At 55.5% G+C, this 25,717-nt stretch overlaps 3 protein-coding genes and 1 non-coding gene across 23 annotated transcripts in view, besides 7 other annotated features; 1 reads left to right on the plus strand and 3 right to left on the minus strand.

The window, feature by feature from the left end:
- Window positions 1-98: 98 nt before the first annotated feature.
- NEIL1 (nei like DNA glycosylase 1) lies at window positions 99-10,175 on the plus strand. Of its 5 annotated transcripts, none has more exons than NM_001352520.2 (11): window positions 99-533; window positions 1,944-2,076; window positions 2,383-2,399; window positions 5,171-5,290; window positions 5,384-5,447; window positions 5,662-5,761; window positions 6,799-6,926; window positions 7,310-7,337; window positions 7,491-7,552; window positions 7,713-7,878; window positions 8,024-10,175. In NM_001352520.2, the coding sequence occupies exons 2-11, from the start codon at window positions 1,966-1,968 to the stop codon at window positions 8,092-8,094; spliced, it is 867 nt and encodes a 288-aa protein (NP_001339449.1). In that variant the 5' UTR covers window positions 99-533; window positions 1,944-1,965; the 3' UTR covers window positions 8,095-10,175. The 5 variants fall into 5 exon arrangements, 4 of the variants coding, with proteins under 4 accessions (NP_001339449.1, NP_078884.2, NP_001339448.1 ...); NR_046311.2 differs by lacking the exon at window positions 99-533 and adding exons at window positions 895-1,059; window positions 1,481-1,706 and having other exon boundaries at window positions 1,944-2,399; NM_024608.4 differs by having other exon boundaries at window positions 1,944-2,399.
- Window positions 1,121-1,310: a silencer, noted in NCBI's record as "silent region_6666". NCBI's record gives its function as "represses an Ori minimal core promoter by ATAC-STARR-seq in GM12878 lymphoblastoid cells {active_cell/tissue: GM12878}" and the evidence as "EXISTENCE:reporter gene assay evidence [ECO:0000049][PMID:35858748]".
- Window positions 2,853-2,902: an enhancer, noted in NCBI's record as "active region_9850". NCBI's record gives its function as "activates an Ori minimal core promoter by ATAC-STARR-seq in GM12878 lymphoblastoid cells {active_cell/tissue: GM12878}" and the evidence as "EXISTENCE:reporter gene assay evidence [ECO:0000049][PMID:35858748]".
- On the minus strand, window positions 6,671-6,745 carry MIR631 (microRNA 631). The gene has a single exon (NR_030360.1). It is a non-coding gene; the product is annotated as a microRNA 631 (primary transcript).
- MAN2C1 (mannosidase alpha class 2C member 1) lies at window positions 8,852-21,667 on the minus strand. 4 transcript variants are annotated; one of them, NM_001256495.2, is made up of 26 exons: window positions 21,543-21,667; window positions 21,133-21,258; window positions 20,571-20,694; window positions 19,582-19,652; window positions 17,548-17,725; window positions 17,059-17,248; window positions 15,702-15,808; window positions 15,403-15,513; window positions 14,915-15,007; window positions 14,664-14,780; window positions 14,346-14,441; window positions 14,106-14,251; window positions 13,625-13,748; window positions 13,150-13,271; window positions 12,963-13,048; window positions 12,680-12,835; window positions 12,388-12,485; window positions 12,119-12,213; window positions 11,764-11,868; window positions 11,522-11,678; window positions 11,261-11,404; window positions 9,853-9,962; window positions 9,666-9,745; window positions 9,361-9,440; window positions 9,170-9,279; window positions 8,852-9,092 (listed from the first exon to the last, which is right to left on the minus strand). In NM_001256495.2, the coding sequence occupies exons 1-26, from the start codon at window positions 21,641-21,643 to the stop codon at window positions 8,966-8,968; spliced, it is 3,054 nt and encodes a 1,017-aa protein (NP_001243424.1). In that variant the 5' UTR covers window positions 21,644-21,667; the 3' UTR covers window positions 8,852-8,965. The 4 variants fall into 4 exon arrangements, with proteins under 4 accessions (NP_001243424.1, NP_006706.2, NP_001243423.1 ...); NM_006715.4 differs by having other exon boundaries at window positions 9,361-9,509; NM_001256494.2 differs by having other exon boundaries at window positions 9,361-9,509; window positions 12,119-12,251; window positions 12,388-12,498.
- Window positions 9,188-9,482: an enhancer, noted in NCBI's record as "tiled region #1822; HepG2 Activating non-DNase unmatched - State 18:Pol2". NCBI's record gives its function as "activates a minimal TATA promoter and a strong SV40 promoter by Sharpr-MPRA in HepG2 cells {active_cell/tissue: HepG2}" and the evidence as "EXISTENCE:reporter gene assay evidence [ECO:0000049][PMID:27701403]".
- Window positions 21,334-21,413: a silencer, noted in NCBI's record as "silent region_6667". NCBI's record gives its function as "represses an Ori minimal core promoter by ATAC-STARR-seq in GM12878 lymphoblastoid cells {active_cell/tissue: GM12878}" and the evidence as "EXISTENCE:reporter gene assay evidence [ECO:0000049][PMID:35858748]".
- Window positions 21,440-21,972: an enhancer, noted in NCBI's record as "NANOG-H3K27ac-H3K4me1 hESC enhancer chr15:75660721-75661253 (GRCh37/hg19 assembly coordinates)". NCBI's record gives its function as "activates a minimal SCP1, AML or CMV promoter by ChIP-STARR-seq in primed H9 embryonic stem cells {active_cell/tissue: H9 hESC(primed)}" and the evidence as "EXISTENCE:reporter gene assay evidence [ECO:0000049][PMID:30033119]".
- Window positions 21,544-21,863: an enhancer, noted in NCBI's record as "active region_9851". NCBI's record gives its function as "activates an Ori minimal core promoter by ATAC-STARR-seq in GM12878 lymphoblastoid cells {active_cell/tissue: GM12878}" and the evidence as "EXISTENCE:reporter gene assay evidence [ECO:0000049][PMID:35858748]".
- Window positions 21,548-21,842: an enhancer, noted in NCBI's record as "tiled region #58; HepG2 Activating DNase unmatched - State 1:Tss, and K562 Activating DNase unmatched - State 1:Tss". NCBI's record gives its function as "activates a minimal TATA promoter and a strong SV40 promoter by Sharpr-MPRA in HepG2 and K562 cells {active_cell/tissue: HepG2 | K562}" and the evidence as "EXISTENCE:reporter gene assay evidence [ECO:0000049][PMID:27701403]".
- Window positions 22,439-25,717, minus strand: part of SIN3A (SIN3 transcription regulator family member A) — an 86,437-nt gene continuing 83,158 nt past the window's right edge. For all 13 annotated transcript variants that reach the window (NM_001437463.1, NM_001145357.2, XM_047432362.1 and 10 more), the window contains one exon: window positions 22,439-25,269. In NM_001437463.1, the coding sequence (NP_001424392.1) occupies window positions 25,039-25,269 (231 nt within the window). In that variant the 3' untranslated portion in view covers window positions 22,439-25,038. The remainder of the gene's footprint in view (window positions 25,270-25,717) is intronic.

Raw genomic sequence — 25,717 nt, forward strand, 5'->3', positions numbered from 1 at the left:
GCTATACTCCAGCCACACAGGACTTCTTTGAGTTCTTTCAGTGACCAATCTCTTTCTCGCCTCAGGGCCTTTGTACTGGCGGTTCCTTCCGCCGGACACGTCGGGTTTCCTCGTTTTTGCGGACTGGCGCTTTCTGATTTCAGAGACTCTCCGCAACAGAACCATCTCAAGTGGGTCTACCTCCTCGCCTTTTTTTGTTGTTGTTGTTGCTTGGCTGCGCTTCTGACAGGGCAGGCCGTGATGATGTTTGTTTATGAGTTAGGTCTGACTGTTCGTTGGTGCTTAAGATCCCCACCGGGTCCCTAGGGCCTGTGCGTACCGCGCACCTGTGCACGTCCTGCGCGCAGCTGCAGGCGACTCCGCTCTGGCTCGTCGCTGCTGTTTCCTGCTGGGGGTGCCGACCCTGTCCCACGCTAGCTGGGTGACTTCCCCCAACCGCAGAGACAGCGGCGACCCGGGGCCTCAGACCTGCCCCCGCATCTCGCCGGCGCCAGGCAGTGGGAAGTCAGGTTCTTCCGCCACCTCCCAGCCAGGTAACTGCCCCGAAGCCTGCCCCAAAGCCTGGAACCCCCCAAGCTCGGGGACCCCACCCCGAAGAATCGCGACCGCTTCCCTGAGGGACTACACCTCCCAGCGGCTCCCAGCGCGCTCCCGGGCACCGCCCGTTCTGGCGTTAACCCTTTAGTGGCTGCAGTGGCGACGAGCGGAACGGAGTGCGGGTTCCCGGGGAGGGGGCGTGCAGGATCGGGTTGTGGGGGGTGCGCTGTAGGGCTAAGGAGAAGATGAGCTTTGGGGGGCCCTGAGGAGGAGGGGAGTCAGGATTAACCGAGGACAGGGTCGCAGCGGGGGCATGGGGAGGACGGGCCCGAGAGCGCCGCTCCTCCCCAAAACTAGGATTTGGAGCCTCACGTTCTCCCGCAAAACGAGCCCTGTGGGTGCCAGGCCAGGGGCGGCTCCCAGGTGTGGAGGGGGCAAGGTACGGGCGTCTGCCGTCGCTAAGTGCCCCCTTCCACTTAAGGCACACCTTCGCCTCCGATTCCGAACCGCCCGGGGACAGAGGCAAGTGGCAAAGCAGGGAGGGCGGAGGTGAGGAGTCGATACCCCCCACCCCAGGGACCAGGCGCTGCCGCGGGCCCTTTCCCTCCCCCAGGCCCGGGGCAGGAGCTCGGGGAGCCCTTCCTGGTGCCCGCCGTCCTCCTGCGGAGCCATGGGGAGCGGCTCCAGCGCATGGCGGCAGCCCGCCCGCCTCGTCCTGGCCCCTGCCCTGACCCGGGGGCGGCCGCGGGGATGTCCGGTCCGTGGGGCAGGCCCGGTTCTCGCTGCGGCCAAGCGGCCGATTCGGCCGCTCCCGCCGCTCCCCCGCGCCAGGCCGAGCTTCGCTCTTTCCCTCGGTGGTGAGCGGCCAGATCCAGGCGGGTCCTAAGTGTGGGGGGAGGGGGGCGCAGGGAGGGGCGGCCACGCGATCCTAAGACCCTTTCAGATGGTGGGAGAGCCTGGAGAAAGAGACAGCGTGTGCGGAGGGGGTGCTCCCTCAGATGGGGGGTCAGGAAGTCTCCCTCAAGTGTCTGGGACAGAGGGACAGCAGGGGCCAAGGCGGAGATGAGATCCGTGAGTGAGGGGAGCCGGGAAGAAGTAAGGCTGCAGCCGCGGCCCCGCAAGGATTGGGACTTTCGTCTAAACGCGGTGGAAGCCCATGGAAGGAAGCGGTTAGCAGCAAGGCAGAGTCCTGCTCCCTCTGCAGCCCCAGCTCCCAGCGCCCTGGGCTTTCCAGGCACCTGTCCGGGTAGGGGATTGAGGGCCGTGGCCAGGCCCGCACTTTCCTGCCAGCCGCAGCTGGCCACATGCCCATCTGACCCTCCGAGTTCTCCTCTAAAAATGGGGCTGACAGCCGCTACCTCACAAAGTCCACACCGGGCTCAACCCGCTGCCTTCCTCCCCAACAGGACTCTGCCACCCTCCCTCAGGATGCCTGAGGGCCCCGAGCTGCACCTGGCCAGCCAGTTTGTGAATGAGGCCTGCAGGGCGCTGGTGTTCGGCGGCTGCGTGGAGAAGTCCTCTGTCAGCCGCAACCCTGAGGTGCCCTTTGAGAGCAGTGCCTACCGCATCTCAGCTTCAGCCCGCGGCAAGGAGCTGCGCCTGATACTGAGCCCTCTGCCTGGGGCCCAGCCCCAACAGGAGCCACTGGCCCTGGTCTTCCGCTTCGGCATGTCCGGCTCTTTTCAGCTGGTGCCCCGCGAGGAGCTGCCACGCCATGCCCACCTGCGCTTTTACACGGCCCCGCCTGGCCCCCGGCTCGCCCTATGTTTCGTGGACATCCGCCGGTTCGGCCGCTGGGACCTTGGGGGAAAGTGGCAGCCGGGCCGCGGGCCCTGTGTCTTGCAGGAGTACCAGCAGTTCAGGTAGGGCCAGCACCAGGTGTGATGAACATAGTCGCGGGCTCCACACCTGACTCTCTTAGTGCCTTCTTGGCCAACAAGGGGCGAGTCCCTGCCCCTTCTGGGCCTCAGTTCTCTCATCTGCAGATCAAGACAGTATACCTGTCCTGGGTCAGCTCCCTGAGCCAGTGGGCATGGAAACTCAAAACTAATTGGGGGCCGGGTGTGGTGGCTCAAGTCTGTAAATCCCAGCACTTTGGGAAGCCGAGGCGGGCAGATCACGAGGTCAGGAGTTCGAGACCAGCCTGGCCAGTATGGTGAAACCCTGTCTCTACTGAAAATACAAAAATTAGCCGGGCATGGTGGCACATGCCTGTAACCCCAGCTACTTGGGAGGCTGAGGCAGGAAAAGCGCTTGAGCCGGTGAGGCCGGGGTTGCAGTGAGCTGAGACAGCACCATTCCACTCCAGTCTGGGCAACAGAGCACGACTCTGTCTCAAAAAATAATGATAATAATAACTGATGGGGGAGGAGAGAGGAGAGCCAAGAGGAGGATGGGTAGGTACTGCCCTGAGGACATGTGGCCAGTTAGTGTCAGAGAAGCTGGGGCTCCCACCCACAATCCCACACCACCTCTCAGGGCTCCCAGGAGGCTAAGAAGGTGGAGGGGCTTTAATATGGTAAGTGAGGCTGAGCGGAATTGTTTCAAGGGGATGGGGAGGGGACTATCTCATGACATGGCTTCCGCCTTGGGCTTTGTGGTCTCCCACATCCGGCCTGCCCAGTATTCTGTGTCCTGTGGTCTCCTCTGCGCCACTTCCCTGCCTGCAGTAGGGTGTAACAGCCCCACCTGGGATGTGATGCAGGTCACCTCACATGGCACAGTGTTGGCCACTTCCTTTCCTCTGAAGAGGAAACGTGTATGAGTCTCTGCTTCATGCCAGGCCTTGTTCTAGGGGCTCGGGGTACAGCAGTGAACAAGATGAATGTGGTCCCTGCTCCCACAGAACTGATGTTCACATAGGATAGGGGAATGAGAAATGGACCCATGCCTTAGGAAAACCCAACAGGTGAAGGAGGTAGAGGATGACTTGGCCGAGGGTGGGGGTACATTAGCAATGGCCACTCTAGGGAGGTTTGAGCTGAGGCCTGACTGATGAGAAGGAGCCAGCCAGAGGAAGGCATTGGAACTGGCAAGAGTCACAAATGCAGAGGCCTGGAGTAGGGTTGGCAAGTTCTCCCTTTCTGGGGGATGCTGTGCGTCCGTTGACCCTTAGGAGACTTGGATACCTGTGGGATGGGTTGGAGATGTCTCTGGTGCCTTAGAAGAAAGTTGACTCCTGGCCTTCCCCTGTGTGAACTCCAAGCACATCCCCAGGGAAACATCTGTCTTTGGTCCTGGATTCCTCCCACCTCAGCCTTCCTGGGGAGTCACGCCACAAGTTAACTCTGCCAGCTGGCTCTGAAGTTTCTCTCAAACCACGAGCATTTGGGCTGTTTTCTTAGTCCCCCAGCTGGGGCGTGTGGCAATTGGCTTACCTCAGGGATCAGGGCACCTCCCAGGCTACCCTTGTACCTTCACCCCAGAACTCTGTCTTCTGACCCACTCATCACACCCATTAGTCAGTCTTGCCATGACCCTTTTCCGCAAAGAAACAAGATGCACATCCTCTTCACGGTGAGGAGGGGAGACCCATGACCCTTGGAGGTGGGGTGGGGGCTGCTAGGGCCCTCACTGGTACTCCACATATCTCCTGCACAGAGCCAGACAATGTCCAGGATCTTGAGAAGAATGGACCCTACCAATGGCAAACCCACATATGGTCTCTAACCCACCACAAATGCTATACAGGGAGCTCCAGACTGCAAACACACTTGAGGTCCTGTGGCCACACTGTTCTCATGTCCTGAGGAGTCTGAGGTGATAAACACACAACCTCATATACAACCTCATGTTGCTTTTTTTTTTTTTTTTTTTGAGACAGGGTCTCGCTCTGTTGCCTAGGCTAGAGTACAGTGGCGCCATCACAGCTCATTGCAGCCTTAACCTCCAGGGCTCAGGTGATTCTCTCACCTCAACCTCCTGATTAACTGGAACCACAGGAGTGCATCACTAAGCCCCTGGCTACTTCTTAAATTTTTGGTAGAGATGGGGTCTTCCTTGTTGCCCAGGCTGGTCTCCTGGGCTGAAGTGATCCTCCTGCTTCAGCTTCCCAGAATGCTGGGATTACAGGTGTGAGCCACCACACCAGCCTCAAGTTACTTTAGATCAGTATTTTTCACCTTTCACAATGAATTTATTTTTAATTTTGTTTTTATTTTTTGAGATGGAGTCTCGCTCTGTGGCCCAGGCTGGAGTGCAATGCTGCGATCTCAGCTCACTGCAACCTCCACCTCCCAGGTTCCAGAGATTCTGCTGCTTCAGGCCTCCCAAGTAGCTGGGATTACAGGCACCCACCATCATGCCTGGCTAATTTTGAATTTTTAGTAGAGACAGGGTTTCACCATGTTGGCCAGGCTGGTCTCGACCTCCTGACCTCAAGTGATCTGCCCGCCTCGGCCTCCCAAAGTGCTGAGATTACAGGCATGAGCCACTGCACCTGGCCGTCCTTTCACAATGAATTTAAATCCCTTGATGTTCCCATTTAACAGATAGGAAAACGGGGGCAGGGAGAAGAGGAACTGTAACTCCCAGTTTCCTTCCCCTTGCACCCAGAAACAGGTTCTCTGAGCCCCTCTCCCCATCCCATGGAGGGTGGGGATGGGTCTTACGCACCCAGACCGTGTTCCTCCAGGGAGAATGTGCTACGAAACCTAGCGGATAAGGCCTTTGACCGGCCCATCTGCGAGGCCCTCCTGGACCAGAGGTTCTTCAATGGCATTGGCAACTATCTGCGGGCAGAGATCCTGTACCGGTCAGCAAGCAGGCATGGGCATGGGGACTGCGGTGGGCCAGGTGTGCCCACATTCCCCACTGCCTAGCATGGCTTGCCTTGCCCCCACTACAGGCTGAAGATCCCCCCCTTTGAGAAGGCCCGCTCGGTCCTGGAGGCCCTGCAGCAGCACAGGCCGGTAAGCCCAGAGAGGGATGGAGCACACGTGCTGGCACACTGGTGTCCACATGGGCCGGCAAGGAGATGGGTGGGGTCAGGTGTCCCCAGCTTAGCTCAACAACAGGGGTGGGGAGGGGATGAACTGCCCAAAGTCTGACCAAGCTCAGAGAGAAGGTCAGCTGCCTTTACATGGCCCTGCTGACAGACAGGTCCTGCCCCTGCCCCTTCCTCAGAGCCCGGAGCTGACCCTGAGCCAGAAGATAAGGACCAAGCTGCAGAATCCAGACCTGCTGGAGCTATGTCACTCAGTGCCCAAGGAAGTGGTCCAGTTGGGTGAGGCCAAAGATGGCAGCAACCTCTGCTTCAGCAAATGATTGTGTAACCCTGGGGCACTTGTCCCTCTCTGGACCTGATTCACCGATTTGGAAGTTTGTAGCCCTAGCTGATACTCAATGGACTAGGCCTCCTCACTTGTCAATAGTGTTTCCAGGCTGGGCGCAGTGGCTCATGCCTGTAATCCCAGCACTTCGGGAGGCCGAGTGGGGTGGCTCACCTGAGGTCAGGAGTTCGAGACCATCCTGGCCAACATGGTGAAACCCCATCTCTACTAAAAATGCAAAAAATTAGCCAGGTGTGGTGGTGGGCACCTGTAATCTCAGCTACTCGGGAGGATGAGGCAGGAAAATCGCTTAAACCCAGGAGGTGGAGGTTGCAGTTGAGCTGAGATCGTGCCATTGCACTCCAGCCTGGGCAACAAGAGCAAAACTCCATCTCAAAAAAAAAAAAAACAAAAAAACAGTGTTTCCTCCAAGCTGCCCATGAGACAGGCAGGACAAGGATTCTTTTATATATTTATACACACACACACACACACACACACACGCACGTTTATATATATTTTTGGTAGAGATAGGATCTTGCCATGTTGCCTGGACTAGCCTCAAACTGGGCTCAAGTGATCCTCCCACATCTGCCTCTAAGTAGCTAGGACTACAGGCTCACACCACCACACCGGGCTAATTGTTAAAAATTTTTTTTGTAGAGACAGGGTCTCCCTATGTTGCCCAGGCTGGTATTGAACTCCTGGCCCCTAGGGATTCTCCCATCTAAGCTTCCCAAAGTGTCGGGATTACAGGTGTGGCCACTGCACAGGGCCAGGACAAGGATTCTTAATCCCACTCCAGGATGGGAAACCCATGGCCGAGTGGGAAGAAACCAGCTGAGGTCACATCACCAGAGGAGGGAGAGTGTGGCCCCTGACTCAGTCCATCAGCTTGTGTAGCTGAGGTCTGGGCCAGGTCTAACCAGGCTCCCCACTCCTCCCAACCTGAGCCTGCCCTCTGATCTCTGCCTGTTCCTCTGTCCCACAGGGGGCAAAGGCTACGGGTCAGAGAGCGGGGAGGAGGACTTTGCTGCCTTTCGAGCCTGGCTGCGCTGCTATGGCATGCCAGGCATGAGCTCCCTGCAGGACCGGCATGGCCGTACCATCTGGTTCCAGGTTGGGCCCTACTGTTCACACAGGCAGAGACCCCAGGAGGCTGATGGGTGGAAACGTGGGGTCACAATAACTGGGGTGGTGATGCTCAGGGTCTGTCTAGACCCTCCAAGGACCACACTGTTCCTGAGGGTCACACCCCTCCCCTCCCATGCGTCCCAGGGTTGCAGCTAGTGGAAGTAGCCCAAGGCAGGTAGCCCAAGTGAAAGTAGCCAAGGGCAGAGCAGCTTTGCTGATGTGGACTCTAACATGGGGGATGTCCTAGAGGCTTCCTAAGGGAGAAGCTACACTGATCTGGATGGGTGTGTGTGAGTCCTGCCTCTCCAAGGAATACCGCCCCTGTGCCAACCCAGGCTGATTCCTGAATTATCCCCATCCCATTTTAGGGGGATCCTGGACCGTTGGCACCCAAAGGTAAGCTACTCCTAATGTAATAGGCTAAGAGAGCAGAAAGGACTTCACGCCTGCAAGGGCTACAGCACCCTTCTCCACCCTATCCCCCTGCAACCCTGGGAGTCACCCCTGGGCAGGATAGGACCCTCCAACTCCAACACCAGTGTCCTGCAGGGCGCAAGTCCCGCAAAAAGAAATCCAAGGCCACACAGCTGAGTCCTGAGGACAGAGTGGAGGTATGGCTGCCTGCTCCCGCCTCCTCCCCTGCACTCTGCAGCCCTGGCTGCCCCTCCCAGGCAGCTGCCTTACCCTAAGAGGGCGGGGGGAGTGGTGGGCCCTAACCAACCTCTGAACTGCTTTCTGAGCCCCTCAGGGACCCGTGTCTCCTCCATCCAGGACGCTTTGCCTCCAAGCAAGGCCCCTTCCAGGACACGAAGGGCAAAGAGAGACCTTCCTAAGAGGACTGCAACCCAGCGGCCTGAGGGGACCAGCCTCCAGCAGGACCCAGAAGCTCCCACAGTGCCCAAGAAGGGGAGGAGGAAGGGGCGACAGGCAGCCTCTGGTGGGCTTTCCTCATCACTCCCAGAAACTGGCTCTACAGGAGAGGATGGGATGGTGGCCTAGGAGCGCGTGTACAAAGGTGGGAGAAAGGCTGCCATGGCAGCCCCTGGAGTCTTAGCTGACCATCTTGCCTGTTCTTCCCCCAGGCCACTGCAGACCCCGGAAGGTCAAGGCTGACATCCCATCCTTGGAACCAGAGGGGACCTCAGCCTCTTAGCAGGAGGCTCTCCTTGCTTGCACTCACCCTTTCTTATTGTCTTGCCCTGCATCTGGGGGTCTGAATTTTTGGGAGCAGGCAATATCTGAAGGTGCAAACAGGCCCTACGGCTGTTCCCTGCACAACTCTCATGGTTTTAATTGTACCCCATCTTCCACATCTTTAAAGCTCATGTGAAAAATGCTGCATTTTTAATAAACTGATACATTTGAACTTCTTGGCACCTCTTGGTCTGAGATGGCCAGGTAGGAAGGGCCTGCTGTCCGGTCCTGGTGACAGAAGGCCCAGCTCCTCACAAGGCAAACTGAGCCCCCATCCCAGTCCTCAAGGCTCTGACTCTATCAGAGGACAGTTTGCCTCTGCAAGGACAGCCCCTCAGAGGTGGTACAAAGACCCTGGCCCCAGGCAGCCCAGGAGCCAGAGCTCCTCCAGTCCAGATTCTCCAGGGTCCAGGGCTGCCCCCTCATCCTGGCAGGAGCCAGGCAAAACCCACCCTTCGGCCCCTCCCCAGCCCCAGGCCCAGGCCCTTTACCTGCTGGCACAGGGGAGGGGCTTCTCAACTCATGGTCTCTTCACTGGCTTTTGGTGGCTCGAGGTCCCCAGTCTCTCCTGTGGGGGCTGCAACCCAGACCCTGCACGCACAGGTACCTTAGGATCTTGCCCCTACCCACCAAATACCTGGGAAGCCATCCCACCCCAGACTTCCCACCCCCACCCCAAGCGTGAGGATGGGCCCTAAGGGGACTGAGCAGCAGGGTTCCCGATCCAAGGATTTATTCCACAAGAAAAGACTGATCCCTGCTTTAGGCTGGGGAAGCAGAAATTAGGAGTCCCCAGAGCCTTCTACAAACAAAACCCCAGCCCCAGGGACTCAGTGTGGCGGAGGCTGAAGCACGAGCAACAGGGACAGCACTTGGAAGGGAGAAAAGGTGAGCTTCAGGCGGTTGTCCCGAAGGGTCAAGTGGCCAGCAGGGTCTGGTCGCTCCAAGAGATCGCAGCTGGAGAACAGGAGGGGCCATGAAGGCTCTGCGAGGGCGAGACTCGACCCCCGCCCCAATCCCACACCGCCACTCACAGGATGGCCTCCTGAACCGGCAGCGACAAGTGCAGCCAGCAGTCCACGTGGCTGCCGTGGGCCTCATACAGCCTCAGGACCAGCGAGCGGCGCTGGGGGCTGCTCTCCGCCTGCAGAGGAACACGTCTGGTGGGAGGGGCCGAGGGCAGGCCCAGTTCGGAACCCCGTCCCCAGCACGTCCCACCCCTTGCCTGCTTGACGGTCTCCAATACGACCGCGGGTGAAGACACGGAAAACGCACTCCAGGAGGTGGCGGGCGCTGGGCTGGGGGCTGGCAGAGCCAACAGGGGGAAGTTTAGGCTGTAGGCAGCTTGGATAACGCCAGCATCCTGGAAAGAGCCTGGGGTACGACCAGGAAACAATGCTGGTGGAGAATGGGGGCTACCCTCCCCTGTCCCTAGAAGGGGCAGGAAGCCAGGTTGCTGGGGTTTGGGCTCAGGGAAGGGCAGAGAGGTGTCTAGGGCTGCAGGAAGGCCCCACCGTCCCCAGCACTCACCCTTGTGCGGCATCAGTGCATAGGTGAACTCGTGGCGCCCCGTGTCAGCAGTAGCGTCCGGGGCTTTAGGCGCCCGCAAGCTGGGGTGAGGAGGGCGCGTAGGGGCCACGCTGAAGCTGTTGGAGTTGTGGTCGGGAAGACCCATTTCTCCATGCCAGCTCCCAGGCCTGGTGGGTACCCCACTTACAGCGAGAGGCTGAGGATGCTGCCTCGCACTGACGCGCCATACTTGCAGTCGTTGAGCAGGGCCAGCCCAAAGCCGTGTTCTGACAGATCCATCCAGCGATGGGCCCACACCTGGAGGGCAGATCCAAGACCCACTTGGTGGCCCTGTGCCCCTCTTTGTGCTCCCAGACTCCAGAGCTCCTGTCACTAGGCCGAGCACAAGCTCTAGAACCACACAACTGAACTCCAGCTCCCACTGTACGGGGCCCTGGGCATGCCACCCAACCTGCCTAAGCCTCAGTTTCCTTATCTGTGAAACGGGAATAAATAATAGTACTCACCCCATCGAATGATCATGAGTATCAAATTAAATGTAAAACTTTGTTTTTTTCACACAGGATCTCAGTCTGTCACCCAGGCTGGAGTGCAGTGGCTTGATCTCGGCTCACTGCAACCTCCGCCCTCCAGGATTCAAGTGATTCTCCTGCCTCAGCCTCCCAAGTAGCTGGGATAACAGGACATGTGCCACCACGCCCGGCTTTTTTTTTTTTTTTGAGATGGAGTCTCACTCTGTTGCCAGGCTGGAGTGCAGTGGCACAATCTCAGCTCACTGCAACCTCCGCCTAAAGGGTTCAAGCGATTCTCCTGCCTCAGCCTCCCGAGTAGCTGGGATAACAGGACATGTGCCACCACGCCTGGCTAATTTTTCTGTATTTTTAGTAGAGATGGGGGTTCACCATGTTGTCTATGATGGTCTCGATCTCTTGACCTCGTGATCCGCCCACCTCGGCCTTCCAAAGTGCTGGGATTATAGGCCTGAGAACACTGCGCCTGGCCAATTTTTGTATTTTTTTTTTTTTTTTTTTTGAGACAGAGTCTCGCTCTGTCGCCCAGGCTGGAGTGCAGTGGCACGATCTTGGCTCACTGCAAGCTCTGCCTCCCAGATTCACGCCATTCTCCTGCCTCAGCCTCCCAAGTAGCTGGGACTACAGGCGCCCACCACCACACCCGGCTAAATTTTTGTATTTTTAGTAGAGACAGGGTTTCATCGTGTTAGCCAGGATGGTCTCGATCTCTTGACCTCGTGATCCACCCACCTCAGCCTCCCAAACTGCTGGGATTACAGGCGTGAGTCACCACGCCCGGCCCAATTTTTGTATTTTTAGTAGAGATGGCGTTTCACCATGTTGGCCAGGCTGGTCTTGAACTCCTGACCTCAGGTGATCCACCCACCTCGGCCTCCCAAAGTGCTGGAATTACAGGCGTGAGCCACTGTGCCTTGCCAATGTAAAGCATTTAGTGCAATGCCTGGCACACACGTTAGGAAGCAGCAAATGTTGATTATCCTCTTCCTCCCCAGCCTGTTCCACACAAGCAGTCTCCCCAGCCAGGGAGGAGTCCAAGGCCACTCCCACCCTGCCATGTCAGACCTCAAATCGAGCCCAGTCCCAAGAGGTATTGTAGTGGGTAGGTCGCTGCAGGTGCCCAAACTGGATCTCATAGGTGGCCTGGGAACTCCGCACGCGAGCAGGGAACTCCACCTTCAGGAACTTGTGGGCCTCATGCCAGTGTACCTGGGAGTGGGAAGGAGGGTGGGAGTCAGGGAAGGAAGAGACACACCAAGGCCTGGGGCTGGCCCCTCCTTACCAAGCACACTTGGGGAAAACAGCCACCCCCTACCCCCCGACTACCTCGGTGTGGAAGCGGACATAGGGGCAGCCAACGTCCAGCACAACCTCCTGGCTAAGCCGACTGTTGGGGCTGATCTGTAGCAAGAACCAGGCGCTGCCCCGCAGGCCGCCCTCGGTGCCCACTGCCAGGGTCCCTGCCTGGCCCAGCACAGGCTTCCTATGGGACAGGGGTGGACATACTGATCCAGAGCAGCCTGTGTTCCCACCACCTCCACCATCCCCACATGCTGCCCAGCCTATACCGTGTCTCCAGGTGGTAGTCCATGACGTCCCATGCATCCCAGTACAAGGGGACATCATCAAATAGCACAAACTGGTTCCCCACGGCGCCCTCAGCAATGGCCTCCCTGGAAGGACATGGGATTGGTGCTGTACAACCAACTGACCTCGCTGTCTCCAGCTGCTCTTGGTGGGGTAGGGTGGAGTGAGTAGACCCAGTGGACAGGGGACTACTGCCCAGCCTGCCCTGCTCCATGTGTGGGTTCCAGCCCAGAGCCACTGGTGGGCTGCTGTGGGCAGTGTTGTGGCAAGGGGAGAGAGGAAATGGCCTGGGGTCTACTTGCCAGGCACTGGGAAAGGGCAATGAGGATTTGGCACCTGCCAGAGGCCACCAGGACCAAGGACGTCAGGCGACCAGTTGGGTCCAGCTTCACTCGGATGATGCCATTGTCCAGAGTCACGGAGCCATCAGTCTTTGTGGGAGGAGGCCTTGAGGCTGAGTCTGTAGGGGCTTCCCACACCAAAAGTCTTCCCACCCCAACCCCAGCCCCGCCTCACCACTTGCTCCAGACAGGGGAGCTCAGGACCCTCAGTTGTAAGAAAGTATCCCAGCACAGTTCCTGCCCCCCAGGGCATGCAGGACTCACCTCTTGCACTACGAACACAGGCTGCTGGGGCAGCAGGGGCTGCAGTGAGGTGGGGGGAGGAACAGGAGCATAGCCCATGCTGGGCACTGTCACCAGGGCTGGGGGTGAGGCCTGGGCATCAGTGCAGCCTTCCTGACCTTTCAGGAAGCTTGCGCAGGTGGGGATGGGTTGGTGGAAGATGTGCTACTACTCTCCAGTCAGGGGCACCCAGATCCCTCGGGGTATCCCAGGCCTGATCTGTCTGGCCTCCATCCTTCCTGCTGCAGTAGCAACCCTTCCCCTCAGCTCGTACCTAGGCTGTGGGCCCCGCCCGGTTTGGGCAGGGCCATCACTTCGATCCGCTTCCAGGGCAGTGTGTTGACGATGAGGAGGCCCTCAGGACCTGGCTCCCCAGCACACAGGGCTGCGGCTGCAGCGCTGAGCAGTGTATTGCCATGGGAACGGATGTCTGAGGAAAGACTGGCTGGTCATAGGTGGGCAACAGGTCTGGAATGTGCCCATGGGTATCCCACAGGGGACACTCTGGGCTCAGCCCTGGGGTTGGAGAGAGCAGGCAGGACTATTGTGAGCCTAACCTTCATAATGGCACATGGCTTCCTCTGCCACCATCTGGATGCAGCTTCCAGTCACCACATCATGGAACTGGTTCAGAAGAAGGAGCCTGCAGGGGCCAAGGGCAGGGATGGGAAGGCTGGGAGGGGCAGGCACAGAGGTAACTGCAGTGAGCAGTCAGGTGGATGGCAGGGACAGAACTGGGCTGACCTCCAGAGGTGCTGCAGCTGGGCTGCTGGGTATAGGAACTGGGCACTGCGGGCCAGGGCCAGGCTACTGAGCAGCTCCACGTCGTGCAGGATCCGCTCACATTCCCGGTTCCCCTTCTTGATCTGAGCCCAGGATGGGAAGATTAGTCTGGAGCCTGCTTAGCTGTCCCAGGACACCTTCCAAAGCCCTCCCTTGCTCAGAATCCCTGAGGACTCACCAAGGGCCTCGTGGAGAAGGCCTCTGGCGGGTGACCTGCCTTAAATGCCTTCCCTCTTCTCCCCGCAGCCCAAACCCTTCTTTCTTCAGGGGTTTCTGCCTCCTTCAAGCTTTCTTGACCAACCCAGGTCTTGAACTTCTCTCCTCCAAACTTCTCTTCCCCTAGATCTGGCCTGGGCTCTGTCCCCTGCTGCCTTCTCTGACCCTCTGCAGATCAAGGGCACACCCTCCCTGCACAGCCCTGCAACCTCCCCCTGACCTGGGCATGGGTGGTGTATGTGCCATTGTGCAGCTCCAAGAAGAGCTCCCCAACCCACGTGCACAGCTGCTCTGAGTCACTCTCCAGTGCTGAGAAGAGCTGTCTTGGAGAAGATAGCTGCACCCTGAGGAGACCACAAGCCTAGGTCTCCCAGCCTTGGAGACCACATGGCTCACCCTTCTTCCACACCAAAGCAAAGGATCCAGCTCCTACAGAGAGGAGCCACTCCAGAAAGCTCCCCGTTCACAGATGGCCAGCCCTGGACGCCCTAGGAGAGCCTCTCTCTCTGATGGGCTGGAGCCCTTACCAGCTTCAGCTTCTCCCCCACCCACCCCCAGGGTGGAAGTTTGGAGGAACCCGTGGTCTAGGATTGGGACAGGACAAGGTCCAGAGGAGGGGTTGGGCCCAATGTCTGAGGGAAGGCAGGGCTCATGGCAAGGGCCCAGGGTGGGGCTAAAGGAGAGCCAAGGCCTGGCCTGACCTGGGCAGCCCATCCGTATTGCTCAGGCGCTTCAGGCGGTCCAGCATGGTCTGGGTGGGGCCACCACCCCCATCCCCAAAGCCAAAGAGGAAGGCACTGTGGTTGGCCCGCCCCTTGTCCCGGTTGTTGGCCACGGTCTTCAGCACCTAGACAGGTGAGGGCAGGCCAGCATGGATCAGCCTGGAACAAGCCAGCCCTCTCCAGCCTGCCCCTACCCCACCACCCTAGGTGACCCCTCACCTCCTCCACGCTGCCCTGCATCCCATAGGAGTCGCCAGGTGGGAAGTGGACCAGTACACGGGAGCCATCCAGGCCCTCCCAGAAAAATGTATGGTGCTACCAGCAGGGAAACAGAAGCAGGGCAGAGAGGCCAGAGTCAGGGCTGAGGCAGAGCCAGGCCTTCCAGACTTGGTCCTGCCCCTGCCTGCTATGTGACCCTGGCAGAGGCAGAGTGAGGGTTTGGTGGTCTGTCTAGGACCCCACAATAAGGGGGAGAGGCAAATGGGCCAGGCGGGACTGAGGCCCACTCTGACCCTGACCCCCCGGGGGCCTGCTTACTGGGAAGGAGTTCACCAAATTCCAGCTCAATTTCTGGGTGAGAAAGCGCCTGATGCCACAGCCGTGCATGATCTGGGGGAGCTGTGCTGAGTAGCCAAAGGTGTCCGGCAGCCAGAACTGTGGAGAAAGAGGATCCTGGAGTGCAGGAACCAGAGCTCCAGGCGGACTCACCCCAGCCTCAGCCCCTCAGCACTCCAAGTCGAGCGCCAGCCCCACTCGCCCACAGCCTGGTGTAGCAGCTCTCAGCCTACCTCAGAGCACATCTTCCCAAACTCCTGCAGAAAGAAGTTCTGGCCCTGCAAAAACTGCCTCACCATGGCCTCTCCACTGGGCAGGTTCCCATCCTGGCAGTGAAGGAAGTGGGAGGCAGCCCAGGTCAGCGCTGGACGGGGAGCAGGCAGGCGCTCAGGCCAACCCAATCCCTGCAGGAGAAGCCAGGGCTGCTCAAACATGGGAGTTACAGCCAGAACTCAGGAAGGGCCCCTGTCCTTCAGGCCTGACTGTCCATCTGCCTGAGGGGGTGCCCAGGACTAGGCCATGCAACTTGTCACAGCGCTGGAGGCTCTCCTCCCCCTTGAAGTCCCAGGCCTTGAGATCCCAGGGACTAATGAGCCAGCCCTGCCACACAGCGGGGATGAGTGGCCCGTGGAAACTCACCAGCAAAGCCGGGAGGGCGGGGCTACCTGAGGGAAGGCTGTTGTCATACAGTTCAAGGCTGAGGAGTGCCCAGTGCACTTACCATCTCCACCCAGGTGCCCCCCACAGGCACAAACTGCCCACGGCACGCAAACTCCTGGATGCGGGAGTACAGGCCAGGGTAGCGGCTCTTCACCCATTCCAGCTGCTGCGCCTGTGGGCAGGTTGAAGGGAGCTGGGACCAGAGTGACAAGGGCCCCACCCAGGACTGAGCATATGGGACTCAGTGTGTGGCTGAGGGTGAGGAGCAGCCCTGACCCCAGGCCTGGGAAGCCTTCAGGGCCTGTGGAGCTCCAGGGAGGGCCACGTGCTTCCCTCCTCCCTCACAGCTGTCCCTCTGACCTGGGAGCAGGCAAAGATGAACTCAGGGTTCCGCTCCATGAGCTGCAGGGCGGTCACCCAGCTCCGGGCACATTTCCTCACAGTCTCTTTGAAGGGCCAAAGCCAGGCTATACGGGGAGTGAGGTGGAGGACAGAGGGAGCAGCAAGGCTGACCAGGCCTGGGCTGGGACTCCAGAGGGTCACCTAGCCCCCCTCCCATCCCAGGCCCTTCACCCTGGAAAGCCCTGTGGTGTCCCTCCTAAGTGGTCACTTCACTTCACTCCAGCGAGGTGGGAGGAGGGGCTGGGGAAAGGAGGCGGCAGTGCTATGAGGCCAATTATACAGGTCAGGAAATGGAGGCTCCAGGCCCCAGAATAGCCTCAGTCCTCTTGGGGAATTAGACATCCCCTAGAGGATCCTACGAGAAGTAGCAGGGACTACCCTGCCCCTGCACAAACTTGATGTATACCTGGGAACAGAGGCATGGCTCCCAGGATGGAGCCAGCTGTCCTACCAGAGGTGCTACAGCCTCTCCTGACTCCCAGGCTGCAGTTCCTCCCTTACCAGCCCAGAACCTCTCACACCTTACCCTACATCTTGGCACAGCAGAGAAAGCCCTTGTTCTGTGATCCCAAAACTTCGGCTGCATCAGAATCAATACCTTCAGGAGCTTGTTAAAAATGTGGATTTCCCGTAAAACTCAGACACTGCAAACTTGTCCAGGAAGCCTCTCTGGAATCCCCCAACCCAGCTGGAGTAAGTACCTCTCCTGTGCTCTCCAGTGCCTCAGACTCCCCACCATTGTGACACCAACTCTGCCTGCTGAATCTGTCTCTGTAATCCTACCCTCAATATCTAGCATGGGCCCCATGAGGCATCAGATTTTGTTGAAAGAATAAATGAGGCTGGGCACGGTGGGTCATGCCTGTAATCCCAGCACTTTGGGAGGCCAAGGCAGGCGGATCACCTGAGGTCAGGAGTTTGAGACCAGCCTGGCCAACGTGGTGAAACCCCGTCTCTACTAAAAATACAAAAATTAACCAGGCATTGTGGTGGGTGCCTGTAATCCCAGCTACTAAGGAGGCTGAGGCAAGAGAATCGCCTGAACCCGGGAGGCAGAGGTTGCAGTGAGCCGAGATCACACCATTGCACTCCACCCTGGGTGACAAGAGTGAGACTCCGTCTCAAAAAAAAAAAAAGTGAATCCAAAGCAAGCAGAGCCCACAGTCCAGCCCCCCGGCCCCGTTTTACAGACGGGGAAAACGCAGGTCCAAGAGGAGCAAGAACTTGCTGAGCATCACACAGTGCTTCTAGGGCACATCCAGGTCTTCAAGGGCACTCCTGCTTCCCCAGCCAGCCCAACCAGCTGCTGTCCTACCTGTATCAATGTGGCAGTGCCCTGTGGCATGAATGGTGTGTTGGCTTTCACCCCCATGTTGGCCAAAGAACCTGGAGGCCAGGGCCTGGGCCACTGGGAAGGTCTCGGGCTGGGCAGGGTCACACACGTTCACCATCTGATTGGCTGTGTACAGGGCCTGGAAGCTGCGCTGGTTGTCCTTCCCGAGGCCCTGCAGCAGGGTTCTGCCCCTTAATCCCTTTTTCAAGCACAGCTTCCAGACCTAGGCTCCACTGATCTCAGGGCTCTCAGCAGAGCTCCCCTGACCCCCAACCCTTTTTCCCTGCTGGTCCCCCTGCTCAGCACCGTCTCCCTCCTCCCCTTCACATAGGAAAATTCTCTCAACCCTCAAGCAGGTGGAAACCCTCGTCCTACTCTGGATTCCCAGAGTCCCATTTATCTGACCCAAAGAACAACCTTCTTGGAGCAGGGCTCTAGAGGGTAGCAGGGGGTACAGGGGGTGTCAAGTACCTTGGCTATGCCCAGCAGCAGCTCCAGATCCACCAGGAGCATGTGGACATCCCGGTGGAACACAGCTAGCTCAGCCCGGCTCAGCTGGAACATCTTCTCAGGGTCAGGGGCTGCAATCATGCTTCCCTTCCCGGCCCCCAGGAGCCCATTGCAGGCTACTTCCACATAGAGAGTGAGGCTACAAAGATGGGGAGACAGCCTCAGGCTAAGGGACTGGCACAGTACTCCGGGGACTTGGGGAAGGGGCACCCAGGAGGCATCCAGCTGAGCCCAACCTGTCTGCTTCCAGGATCCACTACCCAGAGGATCCCACAGTGTGACAAGAGTGCATGTGGGAGGGTTGTGGTACAAACACCAGATGGATCCCATGTCTTGCTGTCAGAGAGAATAAGTAGCAAAGTTTGGAACCATGTAAAGTACGCTGCTGTTTAGTCTTATATTTCCAAAGTTGTCTTTGCAAAGCACTGCCTTGGTCTTGGAACCCTCTTTGCATATTAAAATCATGTTCGGATCTCCCAGGCTCAAACTTTTAGACCCAAGATCTAAAACCAACACGGCCAACATGGGCGGGCCATTCATTGGAGAACAGGCTGGGCTGTGGTGATGCCATACTTAGGCTTCAGAGAGCAAACACGACTTCCTTAGGGAGGCCTTCCTGACTCCACTTCGCTGCTAAGTCTAGAGCAAATTCCTCAGTGGAGTACCCAGGATTTCCTTCCAGAGCCCTCAGTTTTGTAATTATATGAGTGAATCTGTCTCCCTTTGTTGGCAAGGGCTATTTTATTCACCACCATACTCCCAGTGTCTGAAAGCATCTGAAACAGTGTCAATCTATATAAAATACATTCATAATGTCTAAGAAGTGTTTTTAATGGTGTCATAAAATGTCCATGTTATAACATGGAATGTAAGAAGTCAGGATACAATCTTAACTAGTAAAAACTATACCGGGATGAGCCGGGCACGGTGGCTCATTCCTGTAATCCCAGCACTTTGGGAGACTCAGGCAAGTGGATAGCCTGAGGTCAGCAGTTTGAGACCAGCCTGGCCAACAGAGTCAAACCCCGTCTCTACTAAAAATACAAAAAATTAGCTGGGCATGGTGGTGGGCACCTGTAATCTCAGCTAGTAGGGAGGCTGAGGCAGGAGAATTGCTTGAACCTGGGAGGCGGCGGTCGCAGTGAGCCGAGATCGTGCCATTGCACTCCAGCCTGGGTAACAAAAGCGAAACTCCGTCTCAAAAAAATCCAAAAAAACCCCCCCGAAAAAACAAAAAAAACTATGCCGGAAAGATACACCAAGAACATGAATACTGGGCCAGGTGCGGTGGCTCACGCCTGTAATTCCAGCATTTTGGGAAGCTGAGAGGGGCGGATAACCTGAGGTCAAGAATTTGAGAGTAGCCTGGCCAACACGGTGAAACCCTTTCTCTACCAAAAATAAAAAAAAAATAGCTGGACGTGGTGGCACACACCTGTAATCCCTGCTACTCGGGAAGCTGAGGCATGAGAATCGCTTGAACCTGGGAGGCAGAAGGTACAGTGAGCTGCGATCGTGCTACTGTACTCCAGCATCGGCGACAGAGGGAGACTTCGTCTCAAAAAAAAGAACATGAATGCTGAGATGTTAATAATGTTCATCTCTATTCTAGGGAGTGGAATAACGGTAGTTATTTACTTCTTTGTGCTTTCCTGTATTTACCACAGGCAAACATTGCTATTATTTTTGAGACAAGGTCTCACTCTGTTGCCCAGGCTGCAGTGCAGCGGTGTGATCATGGCTCACTGCAGCCTCATCCTCCTGGGCTCAGGTGATCCTCCCACTCAGCCTCCCAGGGTAGTGTGGGTCACTGCACCCAGCCCATTATTTTTATGGTTAGGAAAAAATCATGCTTTTAAAAGCAAACAATGAGATGTGAGGATGATTGTGCTAGAGCAGAGGCGGGCTTATGAGATCACTCTGGGCCTCAGCTCCTCCTTGCTCACTGGTACTCCCTCCCTGACAGCACTGGTCAACCAGGGCACAGGGACTCACCTTCGGGGGTCTCTTTCCCCCAGCCTGTCAGTCAGGACATAGCTGGTCTTCTCACCCTCTTTGGTTAAACCCTAGTAGGGAGGGGAGTGAGAGAGACAAGGCTTGAGGCTTTTGGACAGTTCAGGTAAAGTGTAAGCCATGGGGAGTCAGGCCCCTCCATCTGGTTCCCAGCTCTGGGTCCTCTCTCCCAAGCAGGGCCAAGATTGGCAAATCAGGGACCCTTGGCAGTAGATGCCCCAACTCCCATGGCAGCCAGCACCATGACCGTCAAATAGCCCCTGTTTACCAGTGGCAAACCCATGGTCTTATGGGAAGGGCCCTGGGAAGGGGTTAGGCAGCCTGAGTGTGGATTCTGGTGGCCTCTGCACCCCTAAATAAATACCGGGAAAGAAACTCCGTGAAGTCAGGGGCAGGTTTGCCTCATTCCCTGCTACACCCTAGTGCTTAAGGGTATGGCCCAGAATGGACACCAGGAGATATTTGCTGAGCCAGTGAAGGGAGGAAGGGATGGTCTCTGCCTTCTTGTAGCCAGGAAGAACAGTCTTAACCCCAGATTGAGAGTCAGTCCAATTTGAAATAGAAGCTGTGTGAACCTGAGTGAGTCAACTACACATCTGTTTCTTAATTTGTAAATGGGTATAAAGACCTACTAGATAGGAGTATAAGGACTAAACCTGATAAGGGTGGAGCATGAATAAGACACTTAACAGTGGTTATAGCTGGGGAATGGGATGGGTGATAAGGAGAGATCCATTACTTTATCTAGAACTGTTTGAAATGTTTTCCTATAAGTTTGTATTATACACAATAAAAACTAAGGACCAATTGCACAGATGCCCAAGTGGCAACTTCCCTAGTCCTGAAATCCTGATACCACCCTGTGGGCAGAGCAACTCAGCTGTGGCTTCTCCAGAGTCCACAGAAGAAGGGCTGTAGTCATTTCAGGGCTGAAATGTGGCCATACCTGGCCCTAGGACAGGGTTCCTCACCTGGACAGGTTCTCCATCACGCCACACCAGACCTTCTCCATCACTTTCCCAGCAAAGGTGAACTTCCTGGCCCACCCATGCCTCTGGGATGGTCAGCTCCACCCGGAACCAGCAGGTCCACCATCTGCAAGAGAGCTGTTGTGATAGGCCTAGAGGTAGAAGTCCTATCCTGATATCCTTCCTTGGATAAAGTGTCGGCAGGGGCTTGAAACTCTCCAAGCATCTGCAGTGTCACAAGGTACTCAGCTTTGAGTCACAAGAAAGGAGCAACAAGGTGAGAAGCAAGATGAGGGAAACAGGCAGAGGCGTCAAAGGTTCGTGATCCCTAGGGTGCCCTTCCTAAGGGATGTCCAGAGGCGGCCACGTGGGAATGAAAACCATCCCCTGAAGACCCAGGGACCAGAGAGCTGTTCCCAGCAGAGGGTGCTGCTCCCAGCAGAGGGTGCTGCTCGATCCCACGTAGTTGTCTACGGCAGAGGGCAGACAACGAAGGTGTGGCTGGGAGCTGGGTTGGGACTTCCCCTAGGCCTGTGGCCCCGCCCACCCGCTGGGCGTTACCTACGTGGGTCCGAAGCTGTCGCCGACCTGCGCGGGGCGGAAGTCCCGCTGGACTGCCTCCTGGTAGGGAAGTCTCTCCGGCGTCAGGAAGCTGGAGAGCACAGCCACAGGGCAGCTGGCCCCAAAAAGCCTGCGTGGGACGGGCCGGTGGGCACATGCTGGAGGCCGCCCCGTTTCCGCCTGGGGGCCAGCTGGCCGGTGGGGCCGCACTTTCCCTGGATCCTCCGCCAAGAGGGCTGCCTGGCCGCTCCGCGGCACAGTCCATTCCCTACCCCCTCCTCCCCGGCCCCTGCCCTGCCCGCGGCGGGCACTTTGTCCCGCGGCCCGGGTGGCTGCAGCTTAGGTTTCTCCCCGGAAGGAAAGCTTGAGGCGCACGGTTGCGGTCGGCCGGCTGCGGGGGACCAGGGGCCACACCTGCCGCGGAGGTTACAGTCGGTAAAGTAGAGCGGCGACACGAACTTCTCCACCCGCTCCAGCGTGGTGCGCCAGTGCTTCAAGGCCGGCGCAGCCGCCATCGCCGGGCTCTCGCTCCTCTTTCCGGAAGGCCCCTGGCGCTACCGTTCCGCTCCACGGCAGGAAACCAAAGGTTCCGGCGTCCAGAGGGCGCCTCCCAGTCCCGGGCAGCTTTTCTTGGAACACCGGCGGCTCTCGGAAGCCCAGCTGCTGTCTGAACTTTGAGCCGAGTTGGAAGCTAGAAACTGTTTTTGAGGCTCTCCTATGTTGTCCGAAATAGTGGGCCGCAGGGAAAATCTCAAAATAAAATGGGAAATTTGACGATTAGAACTCTCGAAAGTCTCAAGACAGAGACTTAGGCCATTCGGCAAGACAGGCGGGAGCCTCAGCTGCTGCAGACCCAGCCTCAGAAGCAGCAACCGGGAGACCTCTGGCTCTAGCTGTCGGTGAACACGGAAAGTGGTGTTTGCTTAACGTGGAGCCAGACTACCCGGAATAGGTGTTTTCATACCGGACGGAGATCAGGGTGTTAGTGAGCAGGGTGGTAGAGCTTTACGCCCAAGTTACTACGACTTACTCGATTACACGCTTTACTGAATGTATATTGCTAACTCTTGCACATCACCAGAAACTCTGGAGTTTGAGGTGGCAGAACAGTCATGGCATTGACGATCCCAATGGAAAAATGTATTTCACCATACAGGACTGTAGAGTCCCGGGAAGCCATAATACCAGAAACAGACCTCCAGTTTCATTCTCATCCCTAGTACTCCACTGACAGCTTTATTTTTTTTCTCCTGGGGTTGCCAAGAGTCTTTGTCTATAAAATCATTAGGAACAAAAAAAAATACACAAGATTAGCCCTGATATTTTAATGGAAATACTGACCAAGTTTACAACATTTCAAATGCAGATCACACGGAAAGGTGACTAAGTACAGAATAACAAATGTGATTTAAAACAAAGATAACCTGCTGCTGCATATAATACAGGTTGGGTTTAGAGCTTGGAGCTCAGATGTCAGACAGCAGGAGGAATAAAAATGCTACTTGTGAAAACCCAGGCTGTAGGTAAAACTTACTCTTTTGTTGGTTGCACTGGTGGGTTGGGACTTTCTCCTGAACTGGCCTTGAAATCCTATCCTGACCTGCAGGCAAGTGCTCTGGACAAAACACTGCAGGGGCAGCAACAGCTGGGGCTGACCCTGATCACACCCCACCAATTTCCCCTATGGTTCCAGGTCAACATGACCTTTCTTGAGGGAACACGGGGATAGGTGAATTATTTGAGAAAACCTCAAGATCTTTCCCCTAAATCAGTACACATGACCACCGCCAAGTCAGACACTGCCCCAGCTTTGCCCTAAAATCTCATCCCACAAAGCTCTTTTTGGCACCCTACACTTTGGCTCACAGTCTCTTCTCCCCAGTACAAAAAAAGCCTAAAATCAGGCCAGGGTGGCTCACACCTGTAATCTCAGCACTTTGCGAGGCCGAGGTGGGAGGACAGCTTGAGGCCAGGAGTTTGAGACCAACCTGGGCAGCATAGCAAGACCCTGTCTCTACAAAAAGTTAAAAAATTAGCTGGGCGTGGTGGCATGCAGCTACTCAGGAGGCCGAGGTGGGAGGACTGCTTGAGCCTGGGAGGTCAAGCCTGCAGTGAGCTATGATCGTGGCACTGCACTCCAGTGTGGGTCATAAAGCGAGACACTGTCTTTAAACAATAAAAGCCTAAAATCAGAGAGGTCTACCATGTGTTTTGAAAATCCAGGAGCCAAAAAATTTTGTTTTTCTTTTTGGTGGTGGTGGTGATTTTTAACTAAAAAGCAAACATAAAACACACAGAACATTGCTGGTTACAACTAAGACTTGCGTAATGGTTGCTGAAGAAAAATCCACCAGAGTACTGGGAGGGGCTCAGTTGGTCTTTGTTCAGAAAGTCCAGGTTAACCACATAGAAAAATCCTAATCATTCATGTTTAAATGTCTGCTAGTTTAAATTTATGTAATTAAAAAAATAGGTATCCCATTTCAAATTCTCTCCCTCCCAACTCCATTTATAAGGTATACCACATGCCTTATGCACACTTTTTTTTCAAACACTGGTTTGGTATTTAAGTTGCTCACCCCCATCCATCACCAATGTGAATAAGAAAAAATATATAGAAATACAAACTACATAGCTTGACAACTTACCCAAATATAAAATATTTTCAGATTATTTGAACAAGGGAAAAAAACACGTACTAAAAGACTTAAGTATTCTAAGATTTTGGAATATTTTGATTTGGGACAAGTAACAAGTATTTTAAGCAAAATCCTGTTTCTACCCTGGATAAGGAACTGAAGTCAAAATCCCTGCTTCACAGTATTTTCTGGTGAGGACAAGGGACGTGGGTTGAGAGTTTATTCCTTAAGTAAGAACCAAGCTTTATTTATTTACAAAAAAAAAAAAAAAAAAGTTGGGGGCAAAGGGGAAGACAAGTTTTACACAAAAGTACTACAATGGTAACTCCCTTTGGTAAAAAGTGTAATAAATGTCTTGTACATCTGTTCATAGGTACTAAATCTGAAGCCACAGTACTATGGTACACAAGAAGCTAGAGCAGTTATGCTAGCACATCAAAGCATATTTCTTTTAATAAAAAATTGACAGTATGTACATTATGTACAAAAAAACAAGTTAAAATTGTGTGTGTGTGTGCGTGTGTGTGTCAGAGAGTAAAGCTGGTGGATGGCACTAAGGTAGACTAGTAAAGAGGCAGATACAAAACAGTTCCACGGGAGCTAAAAAGGACAACTGATTTGAACTCGTTGAGGTTGAGAACCAGAGGAGAGAAAAGGGTAGGCAGCAAGGGAATCGTCAGGAATAAAATCCACAAGATGATCAATCCCAAAGCCAAACTGCAGGTCCCAGATAAAACCTAATGGGTGATCTTAGATGTGCTCGAGTGACCAGAAAAAAAAAATCAAATCCAGCTTTTTTTTCCTTTTGTGGGGAGGGGAGAGGAGCAGTGACCATGATAGTTCCAATCCATCTGAGTATTAAGTCCTTCTCCAGTCTGTTTTGTAAATGCATCTCCATCCAGTCAAAGTGTGAACAGCATCCGGTTCCCTCATTGAAAGTTAGGCCACAGGAGACTCCAGTCTTAGCTCTGCTGGTGTGTGCAAGCAAACTGCATGTCTTTGCTTGCATGGACTTCCTTCCCCTCCAGGGCAGGCTATACCCAAAACCCTTTGGGAAAAGTTCCAGCTTCAGCTTTGTAAGGTATTCATGTTCCTAACAGGTAGCCCACTTGGTGCCAGGCTGCACCAGCCACACACAGGTCAGGTGGCCATGTCCCAGAGAGGCCCAGTGAGGCTTGAAAGGCATCTTCCTTGTTTCTTCAGTGTGTGAGTGCATAGGCCCACACACACATCCCCACACACACCCCAAGTTATCTGCTCTGGCTTTGCAGTTAAGGGGCTTTGAATACTGTGCCGTATTTGACACGATACTTGTTAATGCTCACAAAATGCAGGGTCTCTGTATCACAGGTGGTGGTACAGGGCACCAGGCCCTCCAGCCCCTCACCCATGAGCCACTTGCTGGTCTCTGCTGCCATTTCACGGGGCACATGCTCCTTGGTCCATTTATCTACCCAGGCCTGGAATCTCTGATGTAGACGCTTGCTTACACGCTCATGGGACTGCAAAACAGAAAAAAAAAATTTTATTAAATGAAGCAGAACCAAAAAAGAGCCCTTCAAATACAAAGCCTAATTTTCTTCTAAAGGAGCAAAGGAAAGATGTGGGCTCAAGTCTTAGATACCACTGTTTTTTTCTTAAAAGAAAAAAAAAAGGATTCTCTGTTTAAAGAGAAGTTAAAGAGGTAAGAACATAGAACATGTGAGGGCATGAAAATCCATAAAGCCTCCAAAGAAATGCGAACACAGGCTCTGGGCTGAAAAAGCTCGCTGTTCTCAATTTTAGCATGCGTTAGTATAACCGAGGGAATGTGTTAAAAAATACACATTTCTGACCAGGTGCAGTGACTCATGCCTGTAATCCTAGTACTCTGGGAGGCTGAGGCAGGCAGTTCGCTTGAGCTCAGGAGTTTGAGACCAGCCTGGGCAACATGGCAAAACCCCATCTCTA

This window comes from Homo sapiens, chromosome 15, assembly GCF_000001405.40.
Source record: "Homo sapiens chromosome 15, GRCh38.p14 Primary Assembly".
Classification (NCBI taxonomy): Eukaryota; Metazoa; Chordata; class Mammalia; order Primates; family Hominidae; genus Homo; species Homo sapiens.